Source organism: Homo sapiens, chromosome 22 (genome assembly GCF_000001405.40).
Source record: "Homo sapiens chromosome 22, GRCh38.p14 Primary Assembly".
NCBI lineage: Eukaryota > Metazoa > Chordata > Mammalia > Primates > Hominidae > Homo > Homo sapiens.
The window spans coordinates 34,820,516-34,843,356 of NC_000022.11; the positions used below are offsets into that span (position 1 = coordinate 34,820,516).

Here is a 22,841-nt window from a genome sequence, read left to right on the forward strand (position 1 = left end):
GCAAAAATCCTCAATAAAATACTGGCAAATCGAATCCAGCAGCACACCAAAAAGCTTATCCACCATGATCAAGTGGGTTTCATCCCTGGGATGCAAGGCTGGTTCAACAGATGCATATCAATAAATGTAATCCAGCATATAAACAGAACCGACAACGAAAACCATATGATTATCTCAATAGATGCAGAAAAGGCCTTTGACAAAATTCAACAGCCCTTCATGCTAAAAACTCTCAAAAATTTAGGTATTGATGGGACGTATCTCAAAATAATGTGAGCTATTTATGACAAACCCATAGCCAATATCATACTGAATATGCAAAAACTGGAAGCATTCCCTTTGAAAACAGGCACAAGACAGGGATGCCCTCTCTCACCACTCCTATTCAACATACTGTTGGAAGTTCTGGCCAGGGCAATCAGGCAGGAGAAAGAAATACAGGGTATTCAATTAGGAAGAGAGGAAGTCAAATTGTCCCTGTTTACAGATGACATGATTGTATATCTAGAAAACCCCATCGTCTCAGCCCAAAATCTCCTTAAGCTGATAAGCAACTTCAGCAAAGTCTCAGGATACAAAATCAATGTACAAAAATCACAAGCATTCTTATACACCAATAGTAGACAAACAGAGACCCAAATCATGAGTAACTCCCATTCACAATTGCTTCAAAGAGAATAAAATACCTAGGAATCCAACTTGCAAGGGATGTGAAGGACCTCTTCAAGGAGAACTACAAACCACTGCTCAACGAAATAAAAGAGGACACAAACAAATGGAAGAACATCCCATGCTCATGGATAGGAAGAATCAATATCATGAAAATGGCCATACTGCCCAAGGTAATTTATAGATTCAATGCCATCCCCATCAAGCTACCAACGACTTTCTTCACAGAATTGGAAAAAACTACTCTAAAGTTCACATGGAACCAAAAAAGAGCCTGCATTGCCAAGTCAATCCTAAGCCAAAAGAACAAAGCTGGAGGCATCACGCTACCTGACTTCAAACTATACTACAAGGCTACAGTAACCAAAACAGCATGGTACTGGTACCAAAACAGAGATATAGACCAATGGAACAGAACAGAGCCCTCAGAAATAATACCACACATCTACAACTATCTGATCTTTGACAAACTTGACAAAAACAAGAAATGGGGAAAGGATTCCCTATTTAACAAATGGTGCTGGGAAAACCGGCTAGCCATATGTAGAAAGCTGAAACTGGATCCCTTCCTTACACCTTATACAAAAATTAATTCAAGATGGATTAAAGACTTAAATGTTAGACCTAAAACTATAAAAACCCTGGAAGAAAACCTAGGCAATACCATTCAGGACATAGGCATGGGCAAGGACTTCATGTCTAAAACACCAAAAGCAATGGCAACAAAAGCCAAAATTGACAAATGGGATCTAATTAAACTAAAGAGCTTCTGCACAGCAAAAGAAACTACCATCAGAGTGAACAGGCAACCTACAGAATGGGAGAAAATTTTTGCAATCTACTCATCTGACAAAGGGCTAATATCCAGAATCTACAAAGAACTCAAACAAATTTACAAGAAAAAAACAACCCCGTCAACAAGTGGGTGAAGGATATGAACAGATACTTTTTAAAAGAAGACACTTATGCAGCCAACAGACACATGAAAAAATGCTCATCATCACTGGCCATCAGAGAAATGCAAGTCAAAACCACAATGAGATACCATCTCACACCAGTTAGAATGGCAATCATTAAAATGTCAGGAAACAACAGTTGCTGGAGAGGATATGGAGAAATAGGAACACTTTTGCACTGTTTGTCGGACTGTAAACTAGTTCAACCATTGTGGAAGTCAGTGTGGCAATTCCTCAGGGATCTAGAACTAGAAATACCATTTGACCCAGCCATCCCATTACTGGGGATATAACCAAAGGAATATAAATCATGCTGATATAAAGACACATGCACATGTATGTTTATTGCGGCACTATTCAAAATAGCAAAGACTTGGAACCAACCCAAATGTCCAATGATAGACTGGATTAAGAAAATGTAGCATATATAGACCATGGAATACCATGCATCCATAAAAAAGGATGAGTTCATGTCCTTTGTAGGGACATGGATGAAGCTGGAAACCATCATTCTCAGCAAACTATCACAAGGACAAAAAACCAAACACCGCATGTTCTCACTCACAGGTGGGAATTTAACAATGAGAACACTTGGACACAGGAAGGGGAACATCACACACTGGGGCCTGTTGTGGGGTGGGGGAGGGGGGAGGGATAGCATTAGGAGATATACCTAATGCTAAATGACAAGTTAATGGGTGCAGCACACCAACACGGCACATGTATACATATGTAACAAACCTGCACGTTGTGCACTTGTACCCTAGAACTTAAAGTATAATATATATATATATGGACTTGTCTTGGTTGTTATGCAGTGAGTAGACCTTTGAGAGATGAGGGTTTGCCTTCCACCAGGCATAAGATGATAGTGTTCCATGTTGGTGGTAGCAGTGTAGGGTTAACACTACTGACAAAGGCCGGCTGGTGAAAATTAAATATGCAATGTCTGGAAAGCACCTGGCACACAGTAGGGTGTGGTGAATGACAACTATTATAATATAGATCCTTTTGCAGGGAAAAAGATATCATTTTCACACTTGTTCCAATCCCAATGATCTGTAGGCAGCCTTTATTATGTGAAAGACAGAAACTTCTAGAAAACTGGACATGTGTTATTCAGATTTTCTTTGCACAGCTTCACATGCACAGCTTACATGAGTAAGAAAAACAAAAATACACAAGACTCTCTTTCTAAAGAAAAATGTAAAATAACACGATATGAGCTTCCCCTTTTAGGGAGGGAGCTGGCTTTGATTGATTAATTGCTTTGCTATCTGGAATTGTCTTGCTAAGAATAACAAGTTTCAAATCAGATTGAATTTCTACTTCATGCTCGTCTTTCTAACTCCTTAAACTTCTCGACATCCAAGGAGGAGAACAGTAACAACCAGACAACCAAACAGTCCGTTTGGCCTTGGACTTTGTCTTTCTCTAAGAGAGAATTCACATTAGGACCCCTTTGCTTGGTAGTTTCAGGTTTTTGAAACATTGTTAGATAATTATTTAAGTCATAAACAGTGACAGTATGATTATAAATCTTATCAGCAGTACTAATCATGCTTTTTTCTATAGAAGCATTTTCTTCAGAGCCACAAAAAGCTCGTTTTACAGTATCCGCTTCTGGAGGAGAGTGATAGTTTTACTGATCTCCATTCTTACTGTACAGAATTGTTTAATAAAGTGATTTCTGTTTTCCTGAAATTAATCAAAATAATAAGTTCTTGGTTTTCTTGATTTTTGACACTGAGAACTTAATGAAGTTTGCCATTATAATATTATGGTTCTTGGATTTTTTTAATCAATTCCAAGACATATTACTCATTTATTCATTCAACAAATATTCATTGACCATCCGCCATGTGACACCCATTATGTTGGGTGCTGAATATACAAAGAAGAAGAAACAGCCCCTGTCCTCAAAATACTTCCAGCCTATTGGAGTGACAGTCAAGCCAAAAGGCAATTCAGCACAGCAAGATGATTTGTACCTTGGAGGACTGTGAAAAACACTGTGGGAAGGAGAGATCAGGAACTCTAAACCAGAGAGCTGAGGAAGTCTTCATGGAGAGGTAGCATTTGATGTGAAGCCTAAGAGATAAATGGGTATTTGCTAGGCAAAACTAGAGGCAGGGAACTGGCCTCCAGGAGAAGGAATAGATTACCTAAGAAGGAACAAGAATGGAATACGGGAGCCTGTCCTATGGAAAAAACTACAAATATTTTAGACAGGTGTAGTGAGGCCATATTTTCGGAATGCATATAAAATACAGAATAGACTCCAAGTCCTCAGAAGTCTGTTCTGATTCCAAGAATCTGATGATTATCCAATCACACAGGATAATGTGTGCCAGGTAGTAGGAGTTCAGAGATGAATAAGCCAGTGTCTTCCTTCCAGAGGTTTATGGTCTTGTCATCTAAGCTGGTATTCTAGCAGCATAAAACAAAGGATTTTTTCCTGTTTGATAAATCAGAGAGATATTGTTCTGCCCACATATCAGCTTGTCATTAGGCAATTGACTTACCCTTTGAGGGTCTCAGTTACTTCATCTATAAAATGTAGGCCAGTATACTTACTCCCAAGGGGCTTCTGATGAATGATAAAATACATGAAATTGTCCAACCTCATGTCCAATACATGGCAGATGCTCAACAAATATTAGTTACACATTTTATTTGTAAAATAAAGAATTCTATTTTTATTGAAAACCAAGGAGATAAAGTGGCATGTTCTAGCATTGGGGAAAAAGAGAGGTGAAGATAATTAATAATCCTGTTACCTCTTGCATTTTTTCCCACCCAGCCCAACTCACAGAAGGAAAGAACATGTGAGGGGGAAAGGTGGTCAACACTAGACCAGGATCCAGACAATGGGAGAGAGGAGAGGTCTATGTTTGCTCAACATATATCCCCAGCATCTAGTATAATTCCTGACTCAAAGCAGGCGCTCTGTAAATCTTTGTTGAATGTATTATCTGCAAATTGGAATCTGCATTAAGCAACTATATAAAGAAAGATGTGTAGTTCTGGAATTGAATAATGCACATATCCAGTGGCCAAAACCCACCAAGATGGTTGAAGGAACTAAGGATGTTTAAGCTTGGGAAAGAACCCACAGAGATGTGATTTCTGCCATCAAATATTTAAAGCATCATCTTGAGAACAACTGAATTGACTTGATCCATGGGGCTCCAGGAAAATGTGCTAAGAGCAACAGGAACAAGTTACATGGAGGTGAATTTCAGTTCAGTTCTCTTTTAGAGCAGTTTCTCCCATGCTGCTTCATTTGAGGGTGGCCTCAAATATGATTGCATTGTCTATCACTGGTATGTTCTAGTACAGTATCACATAATGGGCTCTTGCGTATCAAATGGACAAGTAGAAAGATAATCTTTAAGTTCTAGGTTTCTCTGGTGGATACTTGTGGTTTTAGTCTGGCACATGCCTCCTTTTCATGAACTTCCCTTCCTTCCTCCAGGTTGTTTTGGTGAGGTTGCCAATCACAAGGCTGCACTCCATGCCTCACACCTTCATCCCTCACACCTTCATCCCTATCCCTGGAGCAGTGGGCTTGACAGCAGCTAGGAAAATCAGCATCTCTTGATGAGGTGGAATTTGTCTTAAGCAAGGGCGCACAAAGTCAGAAAGTCCTTGCCGTTGGTAATCTGATGGCAGCCACTCTTGGAACCAGTTCAAGTGTTTCTAATGCTGAGGTGTCCTGGCGTCCCCTGGTTCCTGTCCTTTCTGCCGGCTGTTGGTTCAGCAAATACTTTAATATTATGAGTTACTCAATAGCCTTTGAATAAGCCCCTCCATTACTTAAACTAGTAGGCAAGTGAACACTTTCTTACAAAGGAAAAACTCTTGTAGAGGGGATTTATTAGTTCTATGACTAATTTTGCCATCCATAGCCTAAAATGGCCTCCTAGTCCCCTACCAAAGAGATACCACAGGGTAAAGGGGATCATCTGCATCCCCCAGCCATGTACTGTAGTGCCAACGTAGCAAAAAGCAAGAAGTAGAAAGGAGGCGCAGTTTCAGGAAGTACATTCTGTCTTTCTCTTTCTTTTTCCTTATGGTCTACATCTTCACATGATAAGTAGGGCAGTCTAATTAAGAAAGGTGCAGAAGGAAAGGAGGGAGTCTCAGAAGAACAGGAAAGAAGAAAGAAAATTGAGAGGTAGAGATGTATGTCTTCAAAGAGTAATGGTCCCACAAATGGCCTCTGCAACTGTTAAAACACAGCCTTAGTCAACTAATTACCAATTACAAGGCTATCAAACCATAAAAGTTAAACTTGCCCACCCTGGCTGCCTGTCTTTAAAAGCAGAAAAAAAAGGAGGCTGGTGCCAAAGCCCCTCAATCATGATGCTCAAAATAGAAGCTATTAATTTAGCAGAGATCATGTGGCAGCCTTTCAAATGGCCTTGGCTTGACCCCTGAGGCTCACTGGGAAGGGTTCTCTCTAAAAACCACCACATTTGCATGCCATTCCCTGATCCTAACCTTCCTTAAGGAAGTTCAAGTAGGAGAGTGGCATGGTAGAAGAAGCACTAGGGCTGGATCCCACAGGCCTGGGTTCAAGTTTGGGTCCTGCCACTGACCATCATAAGGTCGTAGTATAAATCTGCAGTTTGGGGGCTACTATTCAAAATTTACTCCCTTTCCTTTTCCCTACTGGCCTTCCTTTGTAGCAGAGCATATGGAGGGCATAGGGGAAATGTATGGGAGTGGTTCTTGCTGTCTCAATGATGGGGGCACTTTTAGGCAAGGACTTGGTGTGCTAGGTGCTCTACAGAGCTCACATTGGCTCCATCCACCAAGAATTGCCTGACAACTCTCACAACCTCCAAAGTTCCTGGCAGACAATCCTGCACAAGGAAAAAAGTTTATCATTAGCTGAAAACCTTTCTTGGTTTTACATGAAAACATAGTTATTTTTGCCCTATTTTTACACTGAACTATCCAGGAGTACAATTACCATGTAAATCAAGAGAATATTGTATAACATTAGTTTGTTCAGAACTTTCCAAGAGTTGATAGCTAATTCACAAAATATCCCCAATAGCAGGACTGCTGGCAGTGTTCACAAGGTGTTAGCAAAACAGTATCTCTGAATTGCAGTTCCCTCAAATTCATGGTGATTTTATGGCTCTAGTTTCTCATCTTCTGATATAGCTTCACCTGAGACATTATTTCCTTATTAAATACTAAATGCATTATGATTTTATTAAATATGGCTTTACTTTTATTTCTTTATTATAGTTAGGGAACATTTTAAAAAGTTTTTTTGGTGTGTTGAGGTAGGTATATTATCTATAAATTTCATTTAAAGAAAACATAATATCTGTAATATTTGTATCTTAAGCCCGGTTTCTCAGTAAACAAACTCTGAGATGGAAGTCTATACGCAGAAAGCATACTGGAGGGTGCCCCTGGGATCAACCGTGGGGGACCAAGGAGGTAGGATGGGTCTGAGGGAGAGGCTGAGCTGGAACAGTTACAACAGAGACAGCCCTTCCCACAGGGAGCTCTGGTCCTGGGATGATCATTGGATAAAGGACGCCCCTGGGGAAAGGACATAAACTTAAGTGAGGACATGAACTTCTGGTGAGGGCAATTTTTGAAGAGAAACTCAGCTGAGCTCTTTCAACATTCTTGGCAGCTGGCTAATTGATGGACTCAGTCTCGAAAAAGGCCCTGGGCAGCACACCACAGTATCCACTACAGTCCACCCTTGCTCTGGTCAGATACAGGTGCTTAGTAAAACAAGTTCTGGAAACAGCTTCTGCATGGTTCTGGTGGTTCTCTTTTCTGGAGAAACTTAAGAAATGTGTTAATATGCTCAGGCTGCTATAATAAAATATTACAGATTGGGTGGCTTAAATGACAGAAATTTGTTTCTTGCTTTTCTGGAGGGTGAGACCTCCAACATCAAGGTGCTGGCAAGGCAGGTTTTATTCTGAGGACTCTTCTCTTGGCTTTTGTGTGGCTATCATCTCATTGTGTGCTCACATTACCTTTTCTTTGTGTACAAATAGGCAGAAAGAGAGAGAGAGAGAGTGAGAGCACTCAAGAAAGCTCTCCGGTGTCTCTTCTTATGAGGATACTGATCTCATCAGACTAGGGCCTCTTATGACCTCATCTAACTCTAATTACCTCTCAAAGGCCCCATCTCCAAATATCATACATTGTGTTCAACATTTGAATTTTGGGGTGACAATAACATTCAATCTACAACATTAAATTGCTATTTATCATGGTTCTAGATAAGTTATAGAGATACAGTTGTAGATCTGTTGTTTAAAAGCATATATATTTTTTATATAGGTATACATGTATATGTATACTTATATAAGCGTGTGCGTGTGTGTCTATATGTGTGTGTGTATACAGAGAGAGAGAGAGACAGAAAATGAGAGATTTATTATAAAGAATTTGCTCACATAATCATGGTGGCTAAGAAGTCCCAAGATCTGCAATTGGCTGGAGACCCAAAGAAAGCCAATGTGTAGCCCCAGCCTGAAAGCCATCAAGCTCTAGTCCTAAGAAGAGCTGATGTTTCAGTCCAAGTCCAAAGGTAGGAAAAGGCCAATTTTCCTGGCTGAGCTCAGCCATCAGGCAGTCAGAGCTCCTTCTTAGTCTTTTTCTTCTACTCATGTCTTCAATTGATTGGGTGATGCCCATCTACATCAAGGAAGGCAATCAGCCTACCAATTCAGATGCTAGTCTTGTCCAGAAATGTCCTCACAGACACATACAGAATCATGTTTAACCAAATGTCTCAGCACTCCACGTCCTGGTCAAGTTGACACATACAATTAACCATCACAAGAAGGTTAGTGGGAGAAACTATAGAACCTACTGTTGAATCTGGAGCTTTTGCTGCAATTGACACTTATCATTTCCTTTATCTACTACTCATTGAAGACTGCCCTCACCTCTGGCCAGCCCCTCTTCTGGTCTAGTGGCCTGTGTCCTCAGGTCATGGCCGGTTCATTCATCCATTTGCCATCAAAATTGAACAAGGGAGTACAAACAGATGCCCCAGTGGATCACCTGCTACCAAGTATGTCCTTCTCTGCCTCCATGGTGAAAAAGTAGACCTACTTCCTGCTGATCAGCAAAGTATATTCTCACCAGGAAGGTGATGTCTTTACCTGTCGGTCAGCTTCCTGTCATGAGGAGCCTGAAATGACCAAGTGACAGCCAAAGTTTAAAATTTAACGGGACTCTTTCTCTGTGCCTTGGTGGAAATGCTCCTGCTCTTTGACAGAACCTCTAAACCCACATACCCCAAAGTTATGGGAATGGGAGACACAAAACCGCCAAGTAGGTAACTGGGTATGATGATAAATGGGGTCACTTCTACTTTCACCCTTTAGTTCTCAGACCCATGTCTTCAACTCCCTGGGGATGCAACACAATACAATGATCTATGGTTTAGGATATACAGTGCATGCTGAAGGATTATGTTCCATCTTTGTATATCATCTCCAAGCCATTTCATCAGTGGTTATTTGAAAACGCCATGTCAGCAACCTAACTGATGGGCAAATTTGGGGCAGTCTACCATGTCACATGGTCAGCGTATCCCATGGTCATGCTACCACTGCTACACTTCCATTGCCATAAAGCGGGTTGCTTACAGGAATCTCCTAAAAATAGGTAGAACACTCTGCAAGTTCTCAAATGGCAGTGCTAGCTGAGGTCATGCAGGCTGGAAAGGCAAATGTAGACAAGTGTAAATTCTGGTCAAAGTGAATCACAGCCTTTCACAGGTGAAAGGAGTCCAATGTAATCAACTGGCCAGAAAGTTGCTAGTTGATCTCCTCCAAAACTGGTGCCATATCAGGTAGTCAGCATTGACCTCTATTGCTGATAGAGTGAACATTCAGTCATGACAAGGGCTGGATCGACCTTGATATTAAAGTGGGAGCCTGTTTGTAGCCTCCATCCCAGCCATCATGGCTTCTCCATCACTGTGTTCACTGTGCCAATATTGAAAGGACAATGACCACCTGGCCAGTATCTCCTGGCCATGTCATTCTGTCTACCTGGTTGTGCCATGGCTCTTCAGTGGTAAATGCTAACACAAGACTGTTGTGGACTAACACAAGACTGGCAGGGTTTCACTAAAACAGTGTTCCCAGGAGTAAAGCATATTGCCTCCAGAAGCCAAAAAAAAAAAAAAAAAAAAAAAGCCTATCAGGCATTATGCTTGCTCCCTAATAGTGGGAAAGACAAAATGCAACAGTTTAACCTTTATTTTGAAGAGGTGTCCTTCACGCACCAGATCATTAAGTTCCTAAAGAGTTCCCTGATGTAGGAATGCCCTGAAACTTAGTTGGGGTAATCCCAACCTCTAGGGTGCATTTGTCTTGACATAGCCTCCAACATACATGCCACTTTTTGCTCATCTGTTCTGCTTAGAATCAAGATTTTTTCATATGGAGGATATGTGTGATATCCTGAAGACTTTCCCATTCCAGTCTTGGTGTCTCACTCTTTCTCAGTCAGGGCCTGACTTTGGTAAAACAGCCTTGCCTGGACTGAGAAGACATTCTTCCCTGGGGCTCTGTTTTTCTAATAATTAAGCCCTAGGCTCAATTCTCACCTTTATCTGCCCTCCTACTATAGAAACAAAAACAAAAACAAAACAGTAGCTTTATGTGCTACCAAGGAAACCCTCTGACTTTCATACTTCATGGTATATCGATGTTTGATCACCCTGACCCTAGTTAGAAGTAGAAATGGGATGTTGTGATGTCATTCTAAATCAAAGAATAAAATAAATATATGTTAAAGAAAAGGGACAGGTGTTGTGGCTTATGCCTGTAATCCCAACACTTTGGGAGGCTGAGGTAGGAGTATTGCTTGAGGTCAGGACTTTGAGACCAGCATGGGCAACATGGCAAGACGCCATCTCTACAAAAAACTTTTTTAAAAAAAAGAAAAGAAAAATAAATTAGCTGGGCATGGTGGTGCTTGCCTGTAGTCCCAGCTACTCAGGAGGCTGAGGTGGGAGGATCGCTTGAGCCCAGAAGTTTGAGGCTGCAGTGAGCTATATTCACACTGGAAGGAAGGAAGGAAGGAAGGAAGGAAGGAAGGAAGGAAGGAAGGAAGGAAGGAAGGAAGGAAGGAAGGGAGGGAGGGAGGGAGGGAGGGAGGGAAAGGAAAAGGATGAGTAAATCATTTATGTACCCCATCCGTATGCCATGCACATAATAAGCCTTATTTCATTTATTATTCACAAAAATCCTGTGAGGCCACCATTGTTATTCCTATTTTATGAAAAGGAATTGAGGCCAGAGAGGTCAAGCAAGAAGCCTAAGATCACACAGATTGGTAGAGCTGAGATCTGATATGGCCCACCTGAGTCCAAAGCTCACGCTCTTTTAACTATGTGACAGAACCTTCCAGATGGCTTCATCCTGAGCAAGCAATTTAGGAACAACTTCACAGACATACATTTGAATAGGCCTTGAAGGATGAATCAAACCGCAATAGAGAGCCTCTGAAGATGAAGGAATAATAGCATAAGCAAAATTCGAAAGCACAAAAGATTAAGAAAAAGCACAGTGGGCCGGGCGCGGTGGCTCATGCCCGTAATCCCAGCACTTTGGGAGGCCGAGGCGGGTGGATCACAAGGTCGTGAGATCGAGACCATCCTGGCTAACACGGTGAAACCCCGTCTCTACTAAATATACAAAAAATTAGCTGGGCATGGTGGCAGGCGCCTGTAGTCCCAGCTACTCCGGTGGCTGAGGCAGGGGAATGGTGTGAACCCAGGAGGCGGAGCTTGCAGTGAGCAGAGATCACGCCACTGCACTCCAGCCTGGGTGACAGAGCGAGACTCCGTCTCAAAAAAAAAAAAAAGAAAAAGAAGAAAAAGAAAAAGCACAGTGTGACATCCAGGCAGAGCAGAGGAAGGGGATAGAAAGTAATAATACCTACTTTGAATCAGGATGGAACCAGGTTCCTTACATACATTAGAGGTTTTACTCAGCTTATTTGTTCAGAAGCTGCCCCTCTTTAGTCTATAGATTTTATCAGGGCAAAAACCACGTCCCAGCATCCCATTGAGTCCCCAGTACTGAGTAAATGCTAATGGACAAATCAGCCCAGATAGATTCCATCATTTACTAGCCACGTGTCCCACACAGAACATCTAACTAAGGCTTAATTTCCTCATAGGCAAAATAGAAACACTAACTCCTACATGGTAGCCATTCAAAGCATGTCTTATGAGTGAATAAATTATCTCACTATCCCCATCAATTGGTTCCATTATCCTCATTCTAGGGACAAACAGACCCAGAGACGTAAAATTGCCTGAAGTCACATAGGTATTAGGTAGGAAGGCGTAATTGGACATGGATCTTCCTAATGTCAAAGCTTATGATAAATGTGTCTGCCATGGGATCCATGGATAATGGCAGACTGAAGATCACACCAAGGAATTCCACAGGTTCTGCTGCAGGAAGGCTATGGTGTATTTTTTTTTTTTTTTTTTTTTTTTTTTTTTTTGAGACAGAGTCTTGCTCTGTCACCCAGGCTGGAGTGCAGTGGTGTGATCTCGGCTTACTCCAAGCTCCGCCTCTGGGTTCATGCCATTCTCCTGCCTCAGCCTCCTGAGTAGCTGGACTACAGGTGCCCACTACCACGCCTGGCTAATTTTTTTGTATTTTTAGTAGAGACTGGGTTTCACTGTGTTAGCCAGGATGGTCTCAATCTCCTGACCTCATGATACGCCCACCTCAGCCTCCCAAAGTGCTGGGATTACAGGCATGAGCCACCGCACCTGGCCAGCTATGGTGTATTCTAATGTGGTGACATGGAAGGCTCCAGAAAGGGATGTAGACATAGTTATAACAATATGGGGGAAGAACACACTCAGTGAGGAAAGACAGTGCAACCATCACGTGTCCATGGGCCCCACAAGTGTTTGAAGAGCTCCTATCCTCAGTGCAGCTCCATGTGTGCAGAAATGTTCCACCTCACCCACTCAGGGCTCTCTATTTACCTAATTTTTGTCGTGAGCCAGTGAGCTATTCAGTCCCCTGCTGGGGTACAAGACACTGTGACAGATAGCGGTGCCCAGGCTGGGGAATAAATTGCACACTTCTGCCAATAAAACTAGCCAGAAAAGCAGGGAGGTTGTCACTGGTGGGCAAATTAGGCAGGAGTCCTTGGGTTTGTTTGCAATGTGGAGCGGCATGGAACACAGAGAGCAACTAGGTCTCCCAACAGTGGGAGCTGGAGGTCCACAACCTCTTGTGAGTAGGAGGCAGAAATCCAGTGAGTCCCACTGACAATCACAGTCTCTCATGGCAGAAGCACACAGGGGCACTTAATTAGCATAACAGGTGTCCTGATGAACAGGCATTCGACGTACATGGATAAAGAAAAAGTGAAAATGGTCACTGCTTTGTGGACAGATGAAGAACTGTCCAAACTCACCTGTGAGCCCTAGAAAGAAACCTGAAAACACCTTTACTCATTCCACAGACCAGACAAAACCCAGAGCAGTCACTTAGCTCAACTCCAGAAGAGGCAGAAACAGAGGGGAAGGATGAGGCTCGAGGACTGAGTTTCACTTCAGGCTGTTTTGGTCTTTTCCCAGGCTTTCAGCTCCTTTGCTTTTGAAGGCCCTGTCTCCTGTATCTCACAGCTTAACAAACCAGTAATATGCACCCATATTCCACATGAATATAATTCACATAGACCTAAACTACTGAAGAGTAAAGTTGCCATGGGCAAGTTGACCTAATGTCATTTGACATAAATATTTAACTAAATGAATATTGCTTTTGATTGTACAGTGCTCTTTTGCTATTTTCGAGCTAGTCATTGTTTCTCAGGTCTCACATTTTTAAATGCTCTTAAACAGCTTGTGTGCTACAGGCCCCATGCTCAGAGTACCTAATGGAGACATCAACTCTGCCACATCGTAACTGTGTGAACTGTGTGATCTCAGGCAAGTCGCCCAGCAGAGCTTCAGTTTCTTCATCTATAACCTTGGGAGAGCAATGCCTGCTTCACACAGCTGCTATGAGAGGCCCTGTTGTGAGAAAGTGCTTAGTGCAGAAGAGCCACGCAACAAAACTGTCTTTGTTTTCACTCCATAGGTCCTTGGAAAGCCAAGAACAATAAAGGAAGGGGTAAGGATTCATCATTTGCTCCACACATAACACATGACAGACTCTGAAAGCCTCTTGTATATAACACCCCATTTGGTACCGCCCAACATTCTCATGTGGAATAAGAGGCCATATTATCCCCTGGTTTTAACTGAAGGCATTGTGGTGACAAGACTGAGCCAGGTTCACGCAGAGCTGGGAGGCAGGAGCAGGTAAATGCATATAAGGAGGTTTTTGGAGAACAAGAAATTAGAGGAAGTTGAGTTTCTCTCTCACATCCTTGCTCCAGAATTGCAAAGGTTACATTTTCATCCCTTTGGTAATTGTCAGGTCTCTGAGCTCAAGCTAAGCCATCATATCCCCTGTGACCTGCACATACACATCCAGATGGCTGGTTCCTGCCTTAACTGATGACATTCCACCCCCAAAAGAAGTGAAAATGGCCTGTTCCTGCCTTAACTGTTGACATTATCTTGTGAAATTCCTTTTCCTGGCTCATCCTGGCTCAAAAGCTCCCCTACTGAGCACCTTGTGACGCCCCCCACTCCTGCCTGCCAGAGAACAACCACCATTTGACTGTAATTTTCCTTTACCTACCCAAATATTATAAAACGGCCCCACCCCATCTCCCTTCACTGACTCTCTTTTCGGACTCAGCCCATCTGCACCCAGGTGAAATAAACAGCCATGTTGCTCACACAAAGCCTGTTTGGTGGTCTCTTCACAGGGACGCGCATGAAATTTGATGCCATGACTCAATTGGGAGACCTCCCTTGGGAGATCAATCCCCTGTCCTCCTGCTCTCTGCTCCGTGAGAAAGATCCACCTACGACCTCAGGTCCTCAGACCGACCAGCCCAAGGAACATCTCACCAATTTCAAATCCAGTAAGCGGCCTCTTTTTACTCTCTTCTCCAACCTCTCTCACTATCCCTCAACCTCTTTCTCCTTTCAATCTTGGCGCCACACTTCAATCTCTCCCTTCTCTTAATTTCAATTCCTTTCATTTTCTGGTAGAGACAAAGGAGACACATTTTATCTGTGGGCCCAAAACTCCGGCGCCGGTCATGGACTCTGGAAGGCAGCCTTCCCTTGGTGTTTAATCATTGTGGGGACACCTCTCTGATGATTCACACATGTTCCATTGGTTTCTGATCTCCATGGGGACTCCTGCCTTGATCATTCACCCACGTTCCCTTGGTGGCAAGTCAATTGCGGGGACCCCTGCTTTGGCTGCTCACCCACGTTGCAGCCCAGGGCTGCTCCCTACCCCCTTCTCTGTGTCTCTACCCTTCTCTTTAAACTTGTCCCCTTCACTATAGGCAACCTTCCACCCTCCATTCCTCCTTCTTCTCCCTTAGCCTGCGTTCTTAAGAACTTAAAACCTCTTCAACTCTCACCTGACCTAAAATCTAAGCATCGTATTTTCTTCTGCAACACCGCTTGGCCCCAATACAAACTTGACAATGGCTCTAAATGGCCAGAAAACGGTACTTTCAATTTCTCCATCCCAGAAGACCTAAATAATTTTTGTCGAAAAATGGGCAAATGGTCTGAGGTGCCAGGCATTCTTTTACACATTGTTCCCTCCCTAGTCTCTGTTCCCAATGCGAATCATCCCAGTCCCAACCCCAAGCGTCGCTGAGTCTTTCTAATCTTCCTTGTCTACAGGCCCATCTGACCTCTCCCCTCCTCCCCAGGCTGCTCCTCGCCAGGCCGAGCTAGGTCCCAATTCTTCCTCAGCCACCGCTCCTCCACCCTATAATCTTTTTATCACCTCCCCTCCTCACACCTGGTCCGGCTTACAGTTTTGTTCCGTGACTAGCCCTCCCCCACCTGCCCAGCAATTTCCTCTTAAAAAGGTGGCTGGAGCTAAAGGCATAGTCAAGGTTAATGCTCCTTTTTCTTTATCCGACCTCTCCCAAATCAGTTAGCATTTAGGCTCTTTTTCATCAAATACGAAAAACCCAGCCCAGTTCATGGCTTGTTTGGCAGCAACCCTGAGACGCTTTACAGCCCTAGACCCTACAAGATCAAAAGGCCGTCTTATTCTCAATATACATTTTATTACCCAATACGCTCCCAACTTTATATAAAGCTCCAAAAATTAAATTCGGCCCTCAAACCCCACAACAGGACTTAATTAACCTCACCTTCAAGGTGTGCAATAATAGAAAAAAGTTGCAATTCCTTGCCTCCACTGTGAGACAAACCCCAGCCACATCTCCAGCACACAAGAACTTCCAAACGCCTGAACCGCAGCAGCCAGGCGTTCCTCCAGAACTTCCTCCTCCAAGAGCTTGCTACAAGTGCTGGAAATCTGGCCACCGGGCCAAGGAATGCCCACAGCCCGGGATTCCTCGTAAGCCGTGTCCCATCTGTGCAGGACCCCACTGAAAATTGGACTGTTCAACTCACCTGGCAGCCACTCCCAGAGCCCCTGGAACTCTGGCCCAAGGCTCTCTGACTGACTCCTTTCCAGATCTTCTTAGCTTAGCAGCTGAAGACTGATGCTGCCAGATCGCCTCGGAAGCCTACAGGACCATCACAGATGCTCTAGGTAACTCTCACAGTGGAGGGTAAGTCTGTCCCCTTCTTAATCAATACGGAGGCTACCCACTCCATATTACCTTCTTTTCAAGGGCCTGTTTCCCTTGCCTCCATAACTGTTGGGGATACTGACGGCCAGGCTTCTAAACCTCTTAAAACTTCCCAACTCTGGTGTCAACTTAGACAATACTCTTTTAAGCACTCCTTTTTAGTTATCCGCACCTGCCCAGTTCCCTTATTAGGCTGAGACACTTTAACTAAATTAGCTGCTTCCCTGACTATTCCTGGGCTACAGCCACACCTCATTGCCACCTTTTCCCCCAGTTCAAAGCCTCCTTCACATCCTCCCCTTGTATCTCCCCACATTAACCCACAAGTATAGGACGCCTCTACTCCCTCCTTAGCAACCAATCATGCACCCCTTACCATCCCATTAAAACCTAATCACTCTTATCCCGCTGAATGCCAATATCCCGTCCCACAGCACGCTTTAAAAGGATTAAAGTCTATTATCACTCGCCTGCTACAGCATGGCCTTCTAAAGCCTATAAACTGCCCTTACAATTCCCCCATTTTACCTGTCCTAAAACCAGACAAGGCTTACAGGTTACTTCAGGATCTGCGCCTTATCAACCAAATTGTTTTGTCTATCCACCCCGTGTTGCCAAAACCAAATACTCTCCTATCCTCAATACCTCCCTCCACAACCCATTACTCTGTTCTGGATCTCAAACATGCTTTCTTTACTATTCCTTTGCACCTTTCATCCCAGCCTCTCTTCGCTTTCACTTGGACTGACCCTGACACCCATCAGGCTCAGCAAATTACGTGGGCTGTACTGCCACAAGGCTTCACAGACAGCCCCCATTACTTCAATCAAGCCCAAATTTCTTCCTCATCTGTTACCTATCTCGGCATAATTCTCATGAAAACCCACGTGCTCTCCCTGCTGATCGTGTCTGGCTAATCTCCCAAACCCCAATCCCTTCTACAAAACAACAACTCCTTTCCTTCCTAGGCATGGTTAGTAAGGTCAAAATTCTTACACAAGTGCCAGGACTGCGTCCTGCAGCCTTTCTGTCCAAACAACTTGACCTTACTGTTTTAGCCTAGCCCTCACGTCTGCGTGCAGCAGCTGCTGCTGCTTTAATACTTTTAGAGCCCCAAAAAATCACAAACTATGCTCAACTCACTCTCTACAGTTCTCATAACTTCCAGAATCTATTTTCTTTCTCCCACCTGATGCATATACTGTCTGCTCCCCGGCTCCTTCAGCTGTACTCACTCTTTGTTGAGTCTCCCACAATTACCATTGTTCCTGGCCCAGACTTCAATCCAGCCTCCCACATTATTCTGGATACCACACCTAACCCCTATGACTGTATCTCTCTGATCCACCTGACATTCACCCCATTTCCCCATATTTCCTTCTTTCCTGTTCCTCACCCTGAACACACTTGTTTTATTGATAGTAGTTCCACTAGGCCTAATCGCCACATACCAGCAAAGGCAGGCTATGCTATAGTACCAGCCACCAGCCCACCTCTTAGAACCTCTCATTTCCTTTCCATCGTGGAAATCTATCCTCAAGGAAATAACTTCTCAGTGTTCCATCTGCTATTCTACTACTCCTCAGGGATTATTCAGGCCCCCTCCCTTCCCTACATATCAAGCTCAGGGATTTGCCCCTGCCCAGGACTGGCAAATTGACTTTACTCACATGCCCTGAGTCAGAAAACTAAAATACCTCTTAGTCTGGGTAGACACTTTCACTGGATGGGTAGAGGCCTTTCCCACAGGGTCTAAGAAGGCCACCGCAGTCATTTCTTCCCTTCTGTCAGACATAATTCCTCGGTTTGGCCTTCCTACCTCTATACAGTCTGATAATGGACCAGCCTTTATTAGTCAAACCAGCCAAGCATTTTTTCAGGCTTTTGGTATTCAGTGACACCTTTATATCCCTTACAGTCCTCAGTCTTCAGGAAAGGTAGAACGGACTAATGGTCTTTTAAAAACACACCTCACCAAGCTCAGCCACCAACTTAAAAAGGACTGGGCATACTTTTACCACTTGCCCTTCTCAGAATTCAGGCCTGTCTTCGGAATGCTACAGGGTACAGCCCATTTGAGCTCCTGTATGGAAGCCCCTTTTTATTAGGCCCCAGTCTCCTTCCAGACACCAGACCAATTTGGACTATGCCCAAAAAAACTTGTCATCCCTACTATCTTCTGTCTAGTCATACTCCTATTCACCGTTCTCAACTACTCATACATGCCCTGCTCTTGTTTACACCGCCGGTTTACACTGTTTCTCCAAGCCATCACAGCTGATATCTCCTGGTGCTATCCCCAAACTGCCACTCTTAACTCTTAAAGTAAATAATAATCTTTGTTGGCAGGACTATGCTGAATCTCCTTAGGTACTCTCTAATTAGATGTCCTGGGTCCTCCCAATTCTTAGTCCTTTAATACCTGTTTTTCTCCTTCTCTTATTCCGTTTAGTTTTTCAATTCATATAAAACCATATCTAGGCCATCACCAATAATTCTAAATGACAAATGTTTCTTCTAACAACCCCACAATATCACCCTTTACCACAAAATCTTCCTTCAGCTTAATCTCTCCCACTCTAGGTTCCCATGCCGCCCCTAATCCCGCTCGAAGCAGCCCTGAGAAACATCGCCCATTATCTCTCCACACCACCCCCAAAAACTTACGCCATCCCAACACTTTACTACTATTTCATTTTATTTTTCTTAATATAAGAAGACAGGAATGTCAGGCCTCTGAGCCCAAGCTAAGCCATCATATCCCCTGTGACCTGCACGTACACATCCAGATGGCTGGTTACTGCCTTAACTGATGACATACCACCCCAAAAGAAGTGAAAATGGCCTGTTCCTGCCTTAACTGATGACATTATCTTGTGAAATTCCTTCTCCTTGCTCATCCTGGCTCAAAAGCTCCCCTACTGAGCACCTTGTGACCCCCCCACTCCTGCCCACCAGAGAACAACCCCCTTTTGACTGTAATTTTTTTCTTTTACCTACCCAAATCTTATAAAACAGCCCCACCCCATCTCACTTCACTGACTCTCTTTTCGGACTCAGCCCGCCTGCACCCAGGTGAAATAAACAGCCATGTTGCTCAGACAAAGCCTATTTGGTGGTCTCTTCACACGGACGTGCATGAAAGTAATAATACAAGAAGTAGGGATTTCAAAATCTCCAGAGTGTTTAGAGTCTTTGGAGGGGCAGTGGAGAGACACACATCCCAAACTTAGCCCACCTATTCAATGCATTGGATGGCAATCTTCATAGTTACAAATGGTAGAGCTGACCCTGAGGTCCCTAGAAGACCTGTGACATAGCCAACAGTGGATCACAGATGGAAAGAAGAAAAGGGAAAAAAGTTTTGGAAGAAAAAGGAAAAGCACATACAAATATATGCACACGCACATACATATGCATAAATGTATATATTCATTTGTATATATGTGTGTCTGACACACACACATATAAACAACTTAGAAAAGGAAAAAATATCTCCAGGTGCCTGGTTATCTTAAGAATACCAAGCCACATGACCGCCTTCTCAAATGACCAAACATCAGCCATGTTAAATGACCTGTACAAGTGGTAGTCAAGGTCAGGGTCCTGGTCAAACAAACGGGAAACCATTAATAGTTTTTGTACATATGTTACGTATTCCGTAAAATTCTTCCCTTTTTACAAGTAAGGATACTGAGTCTCAACATTTTTGCAATTTGTTTAGGTCATAAAGCTAATAAGTGGTAGAATCAGATCTTGGACCAGGTCTGTCTAACTCCAAGGTCCAAGCCTGTTCCCCAAATGTCTGTGCCTCAGCATAGTCCAAAGTTTCACTCATGTCCATGTGAAGACCACTAAACAGGTTTTGTGTGAGCAATAAAGCTTTTTAATCACCTGGGTGCAGGCAGGCTGAGTCCAAAAAGAGTCAGCGAAGGGAGAGAAGGGTGGGGCCATTTTATAAGATTTGGGTAGGTAAAGGAAAATTACAGTCAAAGGGGGGTTGTTCTCTGGCAGGCAGGGGTGGGGGTCACAAGGTGCTCAGTGGGGGAGCTTTTTGAGCCAAGATGAGCCAGGAGAAGGAATTTCACAAGGTAATGTCATCAGTTAGGGCAAGGACTGGCCATTTTCACTTCTTTTGTGGTGGAATGTCATCAGTTAAGGCAGGAACAGGCCATTTAAATATCACTTCTTTTGTGATTCTTCAGTTACTTCAGGCCATCTGGATGTATACATGCAGGTCACAGGGGATGCTATGGCTTAGCTTGGGCTCAGAGGCCTGACACAAAAGTTTATAGTTTTTTGTTTTAAATCATCTTAAGATAGCAATGGACACGCTCAAGCAGTATACTGAATATTTTTCACTGGGAATTGAATATTCTAACTTCCAGTTTATAGGTGAGAAAATGAAAGTTCCAAGATATAATGTAGCTTGCCCACACAGCCAGCCAGTGATGGTGCTGACGTAGGATTTAGGACTATCAATCCCTATGTCATTTCCACTCTAGAGAACTGCCTTCTCATTGCCCTGAAGCAAACCGCATTAACTGACATCCACACAACTAAGTGTCTGTAGGGGTCAGGATTCTTTTGCAGGTGACAAGCAAGATAAAAATCCAGGAACTTCTGGGGAAAGCAATGCAGAGTGATTCCCTATTGACATAAGTGCATTCCTGAACTCCCACTTCTCAGCACTCAAAAGAGGTTACGCTTTCCTCCATGCTGATCTGGTAAATGAGTTTGCATCAGCATAAACTGAATAGAGGAGAAAGAGGTATCAATTCAGGGCTTCTAGTCTTAATGACAAAGCTGTAATTGTGTCCCTGGGCCAGACAGCTGCCAGCTTCCTGAGAAAGGAGATATCTTTTAAGCTTTAAGGAGGCTTTGGTTAAAAATAAACACAGACAAAGTCCTGGTTTTACTCACTCTCCTCCACCTTGTCCAAGGGGGAAGGAAAAGCCAGTGGAATTGTAATTGGTGCGGGCATCTGCTAAATAAAGTAACACAGACATGCAGTTTCCACCCCTGTGCAAGGTGAGAGTAAGAATTTTGTATGAGTTGGTGAAAATACGACAATAGAAATAGACTGCAACACACCAAGCAAAGGTCATAAATAAAGCAACAACCTCACAGTAATGGGCATGACATGGGATGCGAATCTTGATCCAAAATCTAACAGGCAGAAGCAGGCAAGAATCAGCTCTTGACTTGCTTTTGAGTGATGTCTTGGAAATGGTTCATAATAACCATGAATTCCAATTTGGTTGAGTAATTCTGTCCAAAGCAGAACCTAATAAGGGAGTCATCAGGACATCAGATTGCAGCAAGTTTAGGAAGACTATGAGCAAATTTTAGGGAAGCAAATCAATAAGTGGATAATCGTAAATGTCTCGGTCCTGCCCAGCACTCCATCCACCCTGAGATTTTTACTGTCAGTAAAGAGAGTGTCTGAACTGGGAGCAATCCCAGAGGAGAGAAACAAAGCAAGGAAAATGAGCAGAATGAGTATAGATTCACTGGGGAAAAGATTAAATTCACCGTTATTATTAATATTACCATTATTATTTTATAATCAAACACTTATGAGCAGTTGTATTCCAAAAAGCACCTTGGTAAGTGGCTGAGAAATATAGATGCTCCCGGGTCTCTTTTCAGTCCCAGGCTTGGTGCCCATTTGTCTCCAGGGACTCAAATACTTTCCCTCCACCCATAAAGCTGCAAGTTCCCACTCTTTCCCCAGGGGAATAGATATGCTAAGGTCTGGTTGCAGTCTCCCTCCAGACTGCCTCAAAAAGCACCTCATAGGCTCTTTTTTTGTTGTTTTAGGAGTCTTACCACTGACCACCAAAGGAAAAACAGGAGAAAAAATAAAAAACTTAAGAAAAGTACAAATACATCTTGCAGAGTTCTTACCTCTGTGATCCTTAATCAGCAATGATGAGAGAATGGAGCCAGTAGGGGACAGTGCAGCGCAGTTCAAGAAGCTCTGGCTTCTTCTGGCTTCTTCCAGCTGATGCCAGCTGGAGAGGGTTTGAATCCCAACTCAAGCACCTGTTAGTGGGGCTGCCTCAGGGATATCACTTAAAAATCCTGAGCCTCATTGATATGGTTAGGTTTTGCGTCCCCACCCAAATCTCATCTTGAATTGTAATCCCCAAGTGTTGAGGAACCTGGTGGTAGGTGATTAGATCCTAGGGGCAGTTTCACCCATGCTGTTCTCTGGATAGTGAGTGAGTTCTCATGAGATCTGATAGTTTTATAAGTGTTTGACAAGTTCTTCCTTTGCTCACTCTTCTCCCTCTTGCCACCATGTGAAGAAGTCCTTGCTTCCCCTTCTGCCACGATTGTCAGTTTCCCTGTAAGTTTCCAGCCATGTGGAACTGTGAGTCAATTAAACCTCCTTCCTTTATAAATTGCCCAGGCTTGGGTATTTCTTTATAGCGGTGTAAGAATGGATTAATACAATAAATTGGTACC

General features: G+C 43.3%; 1 long non-coding RNA gene across 1 annotated transcript in view, besides 3 other annotated features; it reads right to left on the reverse strand.

Annotated features, from left to right (window-relative positions):
* Positions 1-22,841, reverse strand: part of LINC02885 (long intergenic non-protein coding RNA 2885) — a 241,252-nt gene that overhangs the window by 63,851 nt on the left and 154,560 nt on the right. The window lies entirely within an intron of this gene.
* Positions 13,849-14,405: an enhancer, noted in NCBI's record as "NANOG-H3K27ac hESC enhancer chr22:35230355-35230911 (GRCh37/hg19 assembly coordinates)". NCBI's record gives its function as "activates a minimal SCP1, AML or CMV promoter by ChIP-STARR-seq in naive H9 embryonic stem cells {active_cell/tissue: H9 hESC(naive)}" and the evidence as "EXISTENCE:reporter gene assay evidence [ECO:0000049][PMID:30033119]".
* Positions 16,101-16,601: an enhancer, noted in NCBI's record as "H3K27ac hESC enhancer chr22:35232607-35233107 (GRCh37/hg19 assembly coordinates)". NCBI's record gives its function as "activates a minimal SCP1, AML or CMV promoter by ChIP-STARR-seq in primed H9 embryonic stem cells {active_cell/tissue: H9 hESC(primed)}" and the evidence as "EXISTENCE:reporter gene assay evidence [ECO:0000049][PMID:30033119]".
* Positions 19,661-20,384: an enhancer, noted in NCBI's record as "NANOG-H3K27ac hESC enhancer chr22:35236167-35236890 (GRCh37/hg19 assembly coordinates)". NCBI's record gives its function as "activates a minimal SCP1, AML or CMV promoter by ChIP-STARR-seq in primed H9 embryonic stem cells {active_cell/tissue: H9 hESC(primed)}" and the evidence as "EXISTENCE:reporter gene assay evidence [ECO:0000049][PMID:30033119]".